Source organism: Homo sapiens, chromosome 10 (genome assembly GCF_000001405.40).
Source record: "Homo sapiens chromosome 10, GRCh38.p14 Primary Assembly".
Lineage (NCBI taxonomy): Eukaryota > Metazoa > Chordata > Mammalia > Primates > Hominidae > Homo > Homo sapiens.
The window spans coordinates 127,956,467-127,971,193 of record NC_000010.11 but is presented as its reverse complement, the minus strand read 5'-3'; the positions used below and the strand labels follow the sequence as shown (position 1 = coordinate 127,971,193).

Here is a 14,727-nt window from a genome sequence, read left to right as displayed (position 1 = left end):
CATTAGCCTCGTATGGACACTTGACAACATGAAGCTCTCAGTCAGGTCATATGGAGACTCCCGATCTAACTTTCAGTTCAGTGAGACTTACAGGCAGGGTCTCTGCATGGGACAAAGGACACAGAGACCTCTGCCGCTGTGTGTAGACAGTGAGCACCTTCCTGGGTCTGCCACAGATATGGGACAGGATAATGACTGCAGCTGATTTTGCTACATCAATTAATTTTAATGACATAGAAGCTTATCCAACCATGAGTCCCAGATAAATTTAACCTGGAGGGATGGTTTATTTTTGAAATGACTAATCATTCAAAACATAATTGAAATGAAGTGACCCTTCCCCAGTAAATGATTCCTATGATACGAATAGGAATATGATCCACCTAAAATCTTCCATAGTAACAAGGGGAAAATATCAGGTGATCTTTTTTGTGAGCGCAGCCATGATGGAAACTTGAGTGTCCATTAGTCAGCTTAACTCATTGTAGGATTAACAAAAGAATAGTCCAAACTGTCAGTTTTCAGAGTTTGATATAATAAAACAGGAGTTTTGTAGGAGGTTCGTAGGCATCATTTCATCGGTGGCTCTACTGTGTAATCCACGGCTCAGCAGATATTTATTGAATGCCCACTGTGTAGGTGCTTCAGGATACATGAAAAAACGCAACAGATGAGTTACCAATGGTGTGAGGGGAAGGTCTGTACCTGGGGACAGGTAATGAGGGAGGAGAGCTCAGTTGGCCTTACAGGACAGGAATCCAGTCCTGGGGTGGGTAGAGGGTGGGAGGACATTCTAGGCTTGGAGCTCTGATTCCAACGAATTCTGCAAATACAACCCTTTCATCCGCAAAGCTGTGCTTACACTGAAAAGACCTTACCGTCCTTCCATTGGATTGGCTAGCTTCTGAGATTTAGGGTGCTCTTGGGTGGCAGCTGGGTTCCTGGAGGCCCTGGAGTCTCCTAAGGACCTCATCATTGTGGGGTGTCCCCCACCCAAGTTCCCTCCCTCTTGTGTCTCCCAGCTGGAGTCTGGGAGTGTGGGCTGGACTTCCAGGCCACTGGGGGCCTGGGAAAAGCCCTTGGTTACTGGCTCTTTTTTTTACGCGTGTGTGTAAGTACTTATATGAAAAACAAAAAAAGAACTCAGCTTCAACATTTTGAACATTCAGCTCGAGGTCACAAAAGAATCCAAATTCTGGAATTTCTGTGCAAAGGGAGAGAGGAGGAGACAGCTTTGCCTCCCCAGCACCAGAGTTTCTGAAGAGCTTGTGACTCAGGGTCCCCATGGCCAGCAGCCTGAGGAGCAAAGCCACGGATGCTCCAGAACCAACAGCCTCCTTCATGAAGTGCCGGAGGCACGTGCCAGCATCTCACACAGAGTTCACGTTCACCATGATTCTCCAGATGTATAATTTTGTAACAGAAAAGAGCCCCAGTCTGACCGTCTCCTTTACGTGTGATATGACAAGAACACACACAAAGCTCATGTCTGCATCATCCCCCCGCCCCCCTTTTTTTTTTTCTTTTTAGGCAGAGTATCGCTCTGTTGCCAGGGTGGAGTGCAGTGGCCCAATCTCAGCTCATTGCAACCTCTGCCTCCCAAGTTCAAGCAATTCTTGTGCCTCAGCCTCTCGAGTAGCTGGGATTACAGGTGTGCACCACCATGCCCAGCTAATTTTTGTATTTTTAGTAGAGAGAGGGTTTCACCATATTGGCCAGGGTAGTCTGGGACTCTTGGCCTCAAGTGATCTGCCAGTCTCAGCCTCCCAAAGTGCTGGGATTATAAACCTGAGCTGTCACACCTGGCCCATCCCCTTTATCCTCATGACGACCCTGCAAAGGCACCAGGATGTCTTCACGGCCCCTGCCCTCTCCACGTCCCGAGCCCAGCAACAGCACTGTATGGAGTGAATGGAGGATTCCCTTTGTCACTCCAGGCTTGCCCTTTCCATTTACGTTCTTATCATAAGATGTCCAGTAAAAAGAGACGGTGAAAGAAATGGAGCAACAGAATGCAATTCCAGCTCCATGGCGTTCGCCTTCCGAATTTAGTGTTGCACTATCATAACCCCAGATTAGTATTTTTTAAAGGATTGATACATGCTATGGAAATAGAAAGGGGAATTCTCCATCTTTTGGGGTGAAAACCATTGTTGGAAACCCTGACTGAATCATTTAGGCTTGCAAAATAAAGTTGTCTTAGAATGTAACACCAGGAAAGTGTTTATATTTCCTGAAAAACTAGGGACATTCTTTGAATCAGACTAGAACAATATAAGCCATTGTGTTTCATTTTTGCCTTGTCAGCTAGGAAGCTTAAAACAGAACTTAACGCACAATCACAATCACTTCTTATCTCCAGGGAAAGGGAGCTGGCATTTATACTATGGTCTGCTCATGCAAAGTGCTGCCACAACATATTTTTAAACTTAATGCTCACAACTACCCAGTTATTATTATTCTGACTTCACAGATTAGAAGCCCAGAGTTCAAAGAAGTCAGGAGTTCAGTTATTTGACAAGTGAGCAGTGAAGACAGCATCCATACCTTAATCCACCTGAATTAGAAACCATCCTGATACAACGCTCCTTCCACAAATTGCCTCAAACCTTTCTGTGTGGGAATGAGCATGAATTGCCCAGAAAGAACGATCTGCAGAATGGAGGCTGGGGAGGCCCCCTGCCCTGAGCTCTGGCTGACTGCTCCCAGGACATTGGAGGCAGAACTCGCCAGATGGCCTCAATGGGGAAGGCTTTTTGTTGCGTAGACCCTGGGGCTGGAAGGCAGTGATCTATTTGGATTGCTGTGTCTTCACTGGACATCAGGTTTCACACGGTGGCCCTTGTACAAGAGGACTTGTGAAAGTCACCTTCCCCTCCCCCCACCAAACCTAACAGCAACTGCCTCTCTTCATTGTCCTGACTTGTTTACTCAAGCCTGGAGTGCAGTTGACTTCAGCATTCAGATAACTTTCCAACAACATAGGAACCAAATTACCCTGTTGAATTCATAGATATGCCACATTTAAATGACATTTGCATGGCAGCAGTGCCTTCCTGAACACACACAGGATGTGAGCTGGCCACCATGTGAACCTGCCTTTTGAGGGCTGACGGCTAAGACAACTGTGTGACCTATATCCAGGGACACACACACACACACACACACACACACACACACACACCTATAGAGCAACCTGGGAGGCATTCAAAACCAAGTCATTTAGATTCATTGAATAGCTAGGCAAGGCCTTGCACATAGTAGGTATTCAATAAACATAAAAATACTTCGATATAATCTATGATCCAGCTTATAGAAAGTTCGAAAGCAGGCGAAACTAATCTATGGTGTCAGAAGTGGGGACAATGGTTACCCCTGGAAGGGAGGCATGAAGGGACTGGAAGAGCAATAAGGGGATTGGGCTGGGGGAATGGGCCTGTCACATTCCTTGATCTGGGTGCTGGCTCACTTGAAAGTTCAGAGCTCTGTGTGCTTATGACTGGTGCAGACTTTTCTGTAAGGATGCTGCATTTTAATATAATTTGTGTGTTAGTCCATTTTCATACTGCTATGAAGAAATACCCTAGACTGGGTAATTTATAAAGAAAAAGAGGTTTAATGGACTCACAGTTCCACATGGCTGGGAAGGCCTCACAATCATGGTGGAAGGTGAAGGAGGAGCAAAAGCATATCTTTATATGGCAGCAGGCAAGAGTGTGTGTGCAGGGGAACTGCCCTTTATAAAACCATCAGATCTCGTGAGAATTTATTCACTATCACGAGAACAGCACGGGAAAAACCTGTTGCCATGATTCAATTACCTCCCACAGGGTCCCTCCCATGACACGTGGGGATTATGGGAGCTGCAAGTCAAGATGAGATTTGGGTGGGGACACAGCCAAACCATAGCAATTTGCAAAATCATAGCTTGAGCTACTATTTTGGAGTAGAGTGGGTATTGCTTTTTACTCTACATGAATAAGCAAACAAATTCATTAATTTAATTTGTCTAAAAACTCAATTAAAAAATACGGTCAACTGAGAAACACTGAGCATGTCATCTGCCCTTAGCAGTCTTCACACTGGGCGACAAATGACCATGAGCATGGAGAGACTTACCGGATGGCAGAGAGCAGGACGGTTGGCCTGACTTTGCCCTTGAAGTGTTTGTTTGTTTGCCACAAAACGCTTTATCTCTTACAGAGCAAGCCTTTGTATCTTTTGGCATAAACTTTATCTGAAAATAATTTTCTGATTTTAATCATTTTTTTCAAAAGAATTAAGAATCTCAATTTTATCACCTAAATCTTTTCAAGGTGTTGGTCATATGGATGACCTTGAGACTTCCTTCGCAGGAGGGACTGCTCTTCATGGCCATGACAAAGGTGTCGTGGTCAAAAAATGTGGCTTTGGGTTCTGACAGGTGTTGGTCCAGGCCTCAGCTGCACCTCTTGCCATCAGAGCAGCCTGGGCAGTTACCTCAACTCTCTGAGCCATGGGTTTTCTATTTACAAAATGAAGGTAAGTCCATCTTAACCTTGGGGTGGCGGGTGGGGTGACCAACTTACCTTGCTTTGCCCAGGACCATCCCTGTTTTAAAACTAAAATCCCCCATCCCAGCAAACCCCTCAGTCCCTGGCTAAGTAGGTGGCTGGTCACCCTATGGCTGCATGGGGTGTATGTGGTAATGTCTACAATGCACCCTTCATGGTGTCTGCCACATATCACAGGCTCAATAAATACTGATTTTTATCATGGCCACAACCTTCCCCAAAATGTTTCCCTCTATGTGTATTTTGGCTGTAATATCTGCCAATATGTGATATCTGAGAAACTTCCCATCTTTCCTTCAGCCTATTGACCCATTTTAAAAGATAAATGATCAGTAACTGTCATGCAATTCCTAGCAAGATGTTGTGTCCGGAGGGCTCCACACACCTGCTGAGGGGGATGGACACTGGCCTCAGGGGTAGGGGGTCCCAGAGGCAGAAAACCACACTGACCCCAGATGCAGCATAGGACCTCTTTGAGCTTCCACTTCCTCATGGATGAAATGAGGATAAACATGCCTGTCCTCTCTTTAGGGTTGCCCTGAGGCTTAGTGAAGATCTGGTAGATCCACACTTACTGTGTTCACTTCCTTGTACAGTGAGTGTGGGAGTCATGACTGTGCTCAGCTGGGAGCACCCATAGCCCACCATCAGGACCTGCAACTTTGCAGAGGCATTCATGGCCCCCAGCGGACCTCAGACTGAAGGCCAGGAGGAGGTCAGGCAAAGGGCCAGTGTGGCAGAAGATGGGAAAATGCACATGTCCAGGTGTCCAGGGTTGTGGCTGCAGTACCAGTGAATTTGGTGTGCAGTGTTCTGCTCCAGAAAGAGGTGGAGACTGGCTGGACCCTGAGCCAGCAGATCTCTGATGCTGTCCAGCAGGAGCTGGGCAGATACGAGGTTCACAGGCTCAGACCCTCACCGCACCCAGAAGGGGCTCCACACTCAGCACAAATTAAGCCAGTGTTATCCTCTAACATCTGGCCGCTAAAATACATTTATATTCATTGTTCAACATAAAGTAAAAGAGCAATTCAAAATGAGATAATTTATATGTTTATGTTTTAATATCCACTGCAAAAGGAATACAAAGGTAAATCACGACTTCTTCCTAAGTTAAGGAAACTTAAAAGGCTTTTGCTTAGGGACGAACCCTGACCTTCCACTGCAGACACTGGCAAGGAATCAAAAGAAGAACATGGCTTATAACAAAACCCCCAAACTCCAGGTGGAATGGATGTATATGGGATCCAGGCTTTTTTCACATTTCCACAGGGATGTAAATCAATTTAAATACTTAAAATAGCCACAGAAAGAAAAAAAAAAAAGATTGAGCTATATTGGTTACCATGGGAATTCCTAACTGAAGAACTTCTTTTGTCTTTTAAAGATCCTTGCCATTCTTGTGACATTTAGAATGATAAAATTACGGGAGTCAGCATCTATTTCCTGCCATTTGATAATTACAAAAATATGGTTATGGAAGTTCAAATTAAAGATGCTTCTTAAGAAGTAAAAAAGCCAACTTGTAATAATGATGTACTTATTAAGGAATTGGACTGAATTTTAGAAGTCAAGTGCAAGATCTTCAAAGGGTTCTGAGAAATTAGGAAAAAAGATGCTTAAAACCGAAATGCCTTCATACCATGTCAGTGGGAGAATAAAAGGTTCACGGCACGGTCCCTGTCCTTCATGGAGACAGCTTCTTCCGTGGGGTCCAGGGAACTCCCTGACCTTCCAGCAGCAGAACGCCGACACCAGGAGCCCGCTGATGAGCTCGGCTTCTGACAACTAGACAACTGGCTGCAAGCGCTTACTGAAAATGAAACTGTTCATGGCATTCACTGGTGCAGAGAGATTTTTTTCAAAATCATTACTTAAACAGAGTTTGTATTCCCCAAAGTCATATTCCCAAATATCACCAACCTGTGTCTCATCGAGAAAGAGTAATTGCCAGGTAATGCGAGTGCCCTTTGAATGTGAAGAGTTTCGGAGACAGTGAGACTTATTAATACAGAAGTAAATCTTTCCCTTACAATTGAGAATTGTCCACAGTTAGTCAAGGGCGAAAAAAAAAAAAATGGAACTAAGAACTTCATTAATTCTTAAGGACGGCTAGAAACACATTATGAAAATATATTCCTAGAAGTTTACATTTGATAAAAGCAAAGGAGGCCGGGTATGGTGGCTCATGCCTGTAATCCCAGCACTTTGGGAGGCCAAGGTGGGCGGATCACCTGAGGTCAGGAGTTTGAGACCAGCCTGGCCAACATGGTGAAACCACAATCTCTACCAAAAATTCAAAAACTAGCTGGGCGCGGTGGTGGGCTCCTGTAATCCCAGCTACTCTGGAGGCTGAGGCAGGAGAATTGCTGGAACCCGGGAGGCAGAAGTTGCAGTGAGCCAAGATCATGCCAATGCACTCCAGCCTGGGCAACAGAGCAAGACTCTGTCTCAAAAATAAATAAATAAATAAACAATAAATAAAATGAAAGCAAAGGATACTCTGCCAGCTGGGAGGGGGCGACGGACTGCAGTTATGCTGGGTTCAACTTCAAGAGCAATCATCTTTGCAAGGAGTGGTCTCAACAGGAAAGAGGCTGAACATCAGATGGAAGATTTCAAAACCTGGGGGCCAGCACTAATCCTGTGGCTCACTTTAAGAAAGTATTAATAAAACTGAACTCCTTCTCCATGAAGGAGAAACCATCTTTTTTATCTCAGGCACAGAGGGTCAAGGTAGCTCTGCAAATGGGCTGAAGACCACTGCCTTGGCCCACTGCGGACTCCCTGTGCAGAACTTCTGCCCCAAGGGTCATGGGCTTCCCAGACAGGGACACTGAGCTGTGCTCAGCACCAGGATGGTGTGCTGGTTGTCTCACACTGCTAGAGACTATCCCCAGCCCCGTGGGTTCCACACGTGTGTGCACGTGTGTGTGCACGCACGCATGCATGCACACACACACACACACTCCACCCCAGGTGAGATCGGAGGAAACAGGCTCGCCTACGGTGCTTCCCCACAACTCCAGGATTGGAGACAATTTCCCTGCCCACTTTCGATGTCTCAACTCGGCTCTGCCTATACACACTGTAAAGACGCCTATGTTATTTATCAAAGACAAAGCATAATCATTTAAAAACCACTTTCTGGGCATCTACTATGTGTTGGGCTCTGAAGACACCAGGATGCATCCACCCAGAAGCCAGTTAATCACATGCTCATATTAACAAAGGATGTAAATTACATACAGTTCTTTGAGAAGATGCAACCTGACCCAGAGCAGCAGTCAGGGAAGGCATCCTGTAGGGAGTGGCCTTGGCTGACAGGAGAGGGAGGAATGGGAGTTAGTGAGATGCAGGGGTGCTGGGGGAACATGCCAGATGTTTCTGCTGGTCTGTGTGTGGTGTGGAGAATGGGTCCATACAGTTGCAGGCCCTCAGCTGTGATCACTCACCCCAGCCCTCTCTTGGGTGGGAGCAGGACCCTAGGATATCATGGGTTACCTGCATTTCCATAGGCCCCAGGGGGACCGAGCTGCCTCAGTGTCTGGCCTCCACAGGCCTGCTCCTCAGAGGCACATCTTTCCTGCAGCCTCAGCCAGTGTTTCTCAGCCAGAGACCCCTAGTCAAGGCCTATAGACCCAGGTTTCCACCTCTACATAGGAATCCAAGGGCACCCCAACTTGGGACCTCCAGAGCCCCCAGCCCAGCTCTCCTCTCTCCCAGCCCCTGGTTCCTGGGATGCAAGATCCTTCCTGTGCACCTGGGCGTGACCTAAGCCCAGGATTTCTCCACCTCAGCACCGTGGACATTGCGGGGGCTGGGGACTGCCTGGTACTGTAGGCTGTTCCGCTGCATCCCCGGCCTCTGCCCACTAACTGCCAATGACACTGCTCCCTCCTTGGCCATAACAATCCAACCTGTCTCCAGACACTGCTGATGTCCTGGGCGTTGGGGAGGGCACAGCCGCCCCGCTGAGGGCCTCCGGCTTAGACTCCTGCTCCCCTGAGCTCCCTCGGCTTCATTGAGGCCTCTGTGGTGCAAGTACTGATGCAGAACTGAGCGGGAGGCCTGACCCCGCCCTGCAGAGCCCATGTCACCAGGGCACACTCCATCGACCCCTCCCCGTTCAGATGCAGGGTGGTCTCTGCTTCCCCGGGGAGGTCTGTGTCCAGCGGAGCAGCTGCGGGTGCACAGAGCACTGGCCCTACAGTCACTGTCCTGCAGCTGAGCCATCAGAACAAGTGACTTTGCCCTTTGAGCCTCGGTCACCTGGCCTGCCTCATGGGGCCTTGAGAGTTACAAGAAAGGAGCCCCGTGGCCTGGCATGTGCCGCACTCACATGCCGTCTGTGCCAGCCTTCCCGCAGGTTCAGGGAGTGGTACCTGGGGCTGCCCCTCCATTAGGGGCTAGAGCCACGTGTCCAGGCAGCAGGGACCTCTGCAGCCTCTTCCTCACCCCCCACTGGCACCCAGCACCATGGGCTGCTCCTCCCTCAACCTCTGGGCCCTGGCAAAGAAGAAGAACAGAATACTTACTGTGCTTCCCTTTGTTATTTAGAGCTTAAGAAAACAGGTAATAAATTCCTATTGTTTGATGAAATTAAAACAGCCCAGTAATACCCAGAGAAAAATGGAGTCTCTCTCCTACCCTGGAGCCAGCATCTCCTGAGTGGTAACTGCAGGCCGCACATCCTGCAGAACCAATTTCATATATTCTTTCACTCACTCATCTATCCACTCATTCATTCATTCCACAGGCACCTGGGGAGTACCCCAGGGGTACCCGGCCCGGCTAGTCCTGGCGGCAGAGCATGAGCAAGACAGCCTGGGTTCTCAGTGCTGCCTGCAGTCTTGTGGGGGAGACAGGAATAAATACACCAAGGTACAAATAAATATGTGACTACCAAGTGCAGTGACAGGTAGGAAGGGACAGACAAGACGCTGGGGAGAGTCACACAGTAAAGGACAGCCAGTCCTAGCGGCCCGCTTTCTCTCGCTGGGGGGTGGAGCGCTTATGCACAGGTGTCACCCAGCAGTCTAAGGCGGGGCCCACCCTTGTGAAGAAGTGAAGAAGGCTGTGCCTGCCAGCATCAGTTCATTCTCAAGTTCCAGGCCACCCCAGGGGCCTCCTGGGGGCCCTCCTTCCCTGTCCTGTTGCATCTTGCTGGAGAGAAGAGCCCAGGCCACTGTGGGTCTTTACCGTTTCCTCTCCCACCCCCACCCTGCCCCAGAGAGAAGCTTCTAAAGAAGGCTTTTCAATTCTCTGTGCTGGGTGCCTTACAACACCTCCCCAACAAGCCCACACTGTTCTCATCCTGCCTCCGGCCAACCCTGCTCCAAAAAGGGGACGCTGTCACCAACAACCATAGGAAATAATTAGACTGCAGCTGGGATATTTTGCTGAATGTTAATCGTTTTCATTTGTGTGGTCTGAAATAAGTACTTCTATGCCCCAGGAGAAGGCCACATACATGCTGGACACGTGTGGCTGAGAAAGACCCCTCGCAAAGCCCCGGCTCTGCCCAGAGAAGCCCGTTCCTTGGCATCGTCTGAATGCACACTAACAGCAGAGAGGAAGGGTGAGTGGGAACTACTTGTTTCTGTATTTTTTTTTTTTTTTGACAGAGTCTGGGTCTTTGGCCCAGGCTGGACTGCAGTGGTGCTATCTCAGCTCATTGCAAGCTCTGCCTCCCGGGTTCACGCCATTCTCCTGCCTCAGCCTCCTGAGTAGCTGGGACTACAGGTGACCACCACCACGCCCGGCTAATTTTTTTTGTATTTTTAGTAGAGACGGGGTTTCACCATGTTAGGATGGTCTTGATCTCCTGACCTAGTGATCCGCCCACCTCGGCCTCCCAAAGTGCTGGGATTACAGGCGTGAGCCACCGCGCCCGGCTGTTTCTGTATTTTTTGAAAAGCCTCACGTATTTGGACTAATGGCTAAATGCTGATAAATCAGAGCAAGATCTGGGCTATGGCAAGTTTACACATTTATTGAGCTAGGAGGTCCAAGATGACTCAGACCAACTCCTGGGGCTGTTGAAAGATGGAGCAGCCCAAGTGCTCAGGCTCACAGAGAACCAGGTAAAGCTGCAGGGAACGGTCAGACCGGACTCGGGGGAGGCACGGCTGCCAGAGCTGAGTGCTGAGGGGCAAGAAGGAATCCACCAGACTTAAGTGCACAGGACACAGAAGTGATCAAAGGGCCCAAGGCCAGAAGAATTTGACAAAGGATCTTGCAAATGAACAAATAAGAAATCTTTGCTATTAACGATAGAGGGGTTTGTCTGCTGCTATGCATTTTCTTGAACTCTCTCTCTGGAATCTAACTCAGCGCTCACTTGCTGGGTGTCTGCAGTATGAAAGCACAGCACAGGCAGCAGGGAGAAAGGTCTGCTGTCACACACACAGCCAGCCTCGTCCTTCAGTGTCCACCCCAGATGCCACCATCTGATCATTCAGCAACAGGATCTCGAGTCCCTGGGGCACCCGCATGCCAGCAAGCATGCCCAAGCTGGAGGGATTGGTCTCCTTTCTGACCTGCGTCTGCCATTCACTTGTTTTCCCAGGTCTTTTATTACTTCCCATCTTACATAGTAATAATCTGCATCTGTCCTAGCTTCCCCAAAGAGTTACATTCTCCAAGAGGACAGGCACTAGCTTTGATATCGTCACATCTCTTACAGCACTAAAGAGAGTATCAGTAAATCTCCCTTTGAATGAATTAATAATAAAGGTAAGAGCTCCCATCAGTGCCCTGCCAAGCACTGTGCTAGAAGCTTCATAATATCTCATGGACCCTCACAAGCAGCCTGCAAGGTGGGTCATATTATTTGCACTTTACAGTCAGGGAAAGGAGAATTAAAGAGACAAGGAGACAATCCTAAGTCACCCTGCTGGGAAGTAGCTGACCCAGGATCATACTGGGGAAGGTCTGACTCCACAGTTGTGCCCTCAACACTATGGAGAAAGTGCTTAAAGCTCGTTGAAAAGTGTGTGGCTTTGGACACAACATCTTCCCCACAATGGACTTCTGCTTTAAATTTGCCTGGCAATCACTTTCTTTGCAAATTCAGAAAGGTCACCTTCTGTCAAACTTATTTCAACAATTATTACAAACATAAATTAATGAGTCTGAGTTATTGGGGATGTATATTTACACATTAAAAACAACCACAAAAAAGTAATTCAAGAAAATGCCCAGGAAGGCATAAGAAAGGCATATGCTATCATCTTGAGGCAGGACTTATTTCTGGTAAATGGGTTCAGTAGGAGGCTATTGAGTGAATTACCAAATGAATGAATGTACAAATGAATGAATGAGTGAATGCATGAACTGGGTAAGCTTTTAGGAAACTCTTGCACTGTTTTTCTCCACTCCCCTCAAGTCCCAACTTGTTGTTAACCTGGATTTCTGTTTAAAAAAAGAAAATAGGCAATTTCAGCCGGGCGTGGTGGCTCATGCCTATAATCCCAGCACTTTGGGAGGCTAAGGCAGGCGGATCACTTGAGGTTGGGAGTTCGAGACCAGCCTGACCAACATGGAGAAACACCATCTCTACTAAAAATACGAAATTAGCGGGGTGTGGTGGCGCATGCCTGTAATCCCAGCTATTCGGGAGGCCGAGATGGGAGAATCGCTTGAACCCAGGAGGAGGAGGTTGTAGTGAGCTGAGATCGTGCCATTGCACTCCAGCCTGGGCAACAAGAGTGAAACTCCGTCTCAGGAAAAAAAAAAAAAAAAAAAGGCAAGTTGAATAGAATTATATCTATTGAAGAAAATAAATAAATAATTAATAATCTTCTAAAACAGAAAGGACCAGGCACAGATGAGTCACTGGTGAATTCTACCAAATATTTAAGAAATAAATTAAATCAATTTTCTATGATCTCTTCCAAAAGATAGAAGCATAGGGAACACTCATTGTATGATGCCCATATTACCCTCAATACCAAAACCAAAGGCATTCCAAGAAAAAAAACAACAACACTATTGACCAATATCTCTCATGAATTTAGCTGCATAATCTTCAACAAAATATTAGCAAATCAAATCCAAAATGTATAAAAATAAGTATTCACCATAACCAAGTGGGATTTATCCCATGTATAAAAGGTTGATTCAAATTTGAAAATCAATTAATGTAATCCATCACATCAACAGGCTAAAGAAGAAAATCACAAGATTATATCAACAGATGCAAAAAAAAGCACGTGACAAAATTCAAAACTGACTCATGATGAAAACTCTCAACAAACAAGGAATAGAAGGAAATTTCCTCAAGTTGATAAAGGACAGCTATGAAAAACCTACAGCTAATGTCATACGTTAATGGTAAGAAACTAGACATTTTCCCACTAAGATCAGGAACGAGGCAAGGATGTCCTCTCTTGACACTCCTTTCTGATATCATATGGGAGGTTATGGTTATTGCAGAGACAAGAAAATAAAATAAAAGATATACAGGTTAAGAAGTAAAAAATGCAAATATTTTTGTTCACAGATTACATGATTATCTATGTAACAAACCTGGAAGAATAAAAACAAAACAAAAAAACCTCCTGGAACTAATAGGTAACTATAGTAATGTTTCAGGGTATAAAGTTAATACAAAAAGTTAGTCACTTTTCTGTATGCCAGAAGTGAACAAGTGAAATTTAAAATTAAAAACACAATCCTATTTATATTAGCATCCCTAAATATGAAATACCTAGGCATAAACCTAACAAAATATGTACAAGATCTATATTAAAACTCTGATGAAAGAAATCAAATAACAACTAAATAAATGGAGAGACATTCCGTGTTCACGGATAAACAAATTTAAAACTGTCAGGATGTCAGTTCTTTCACTTGATCTACAGATTCAATGCAATCCCAGTCAAAATCTCCACCAAGTTATTTTGTGGATGTCAACAAACTGATACTAAAGTTTATACAGAGAGGCAAAAGACTCACAATAGCCAACGCAATATTGAAGGAGAAGAACAGAGTTGGAGGACTGACACTACCTGACCCCAAGACTTAACTATAAAGCTTCAGTAAAATAATCAACATCATTGGAACAGAATGGAGAGCCTTTCTGATATCATACAGGAAGTCATGGCTGTTGCAATGAGACAAGAAAATAAAAGGTATACAGATTAAGAAGTAAAAATGCAAATATTCTTGTTCACAGATTACATGATTATCTATGTAACAAATCTGAAGGAAAAAATCCAACAGAATGGAAGAGAAATAGACCCACATAAATATGGTCAACTATGTTTAACAAAGGAGTGAAGGCAATACAAAGGCAGAAAGATTGATGGTCTTTTCAACATACGGTGCTGGGACAACTGTAAATCCATATGCAAAAAATGAATCTACACACAGGCTTTATACCCTTCACAAAAAATTAACTCAAAATAGATCATAGACCTAAATGTAAGATGCAAAATTATAAAACTCTAGAAAATAACAGAAAAAAATCTAGATGACCTTGGATAAGGGGATGACTTTTTAGATACAATACCAAAAACATGACCCATAAAAGAAAGAATTGATACATTGAACCTCATAATGATTAAAAACTTCCTGCTCTGCAGAAGACACTGTCAAGGTAATGAGAAGACAAGCCACAGACTGGAGAGAAAACATTTGCAAAGAACATATCTGATAAAGGATTTTTATCAATAATGTACAAAAAAAACTCTTAAAACTCACAATAAGAAAATAAACAATCCCATTAAAAAAACAGGCAAAGACCAGAACAGACACATCAACAAAGAAAACATATGGATGGAAAATAAGCATACATAAAGATGCTCATCATCATCTGTCTTTAGGGAATTGCTAATTAAAGCAACAATATGACACCACTACCCACCTATTGTAATAGCCAAAATCCGGAACACTGACAACACCAAATGCTGGTAAGGATTTGGAGCAACAGGAACTCTCATTTATTGCTTCAAATGCAAAATGGTACAGCTGCTTTGGAAGATAGTTTAGTGGTTTCTTATAAAACTAAACACACTTAACATATGATCCAGCAATTGCACTCCTTGGCATTTGCCCAAATGAGGTGAAAACTTATGTCCACACAAAAACCCACATATGTATGTATATAGCAGCTTTATTCTTAATTGCCCAAACTTGGAAGCAACCAAGATGTCTGTATTAGTCAGGA

At 45.4% G+C, this 14,727-nt stretch overlaps 1 protein-coding gene across 12 annotated transcripts in view; it reads right to left on the bottom strand.

Annotated features, from left to right (window-relative positions):
* Window positions 1-14,727, bottom strand: part of PTPRE (protein tyrosine phosphatase receptor type E) — a 178,753-nt gene that overhangs the window by 114,662 nt on the left and 49,364 nt on the right. The window contains exon 2 of one of the 12 annotated variants that reach the window (NM_001316676.2): window positions 6,196-6,366. The exons of the other annotated variants lie outside the window; for them this stretch is intronic. Within the exon in view, the coding sequence (NP_001303605.1) occupies window positions 6,196-6,198 (3 nt within the window). The 5' untranslated portion in view covers window positions 6,199-6,366. The remainder of the gene's footprint in view (window positions 1-6,195; window positions 6,367-14,727) is intronic. 12 annotated transcript variants of the gene reach the window in all.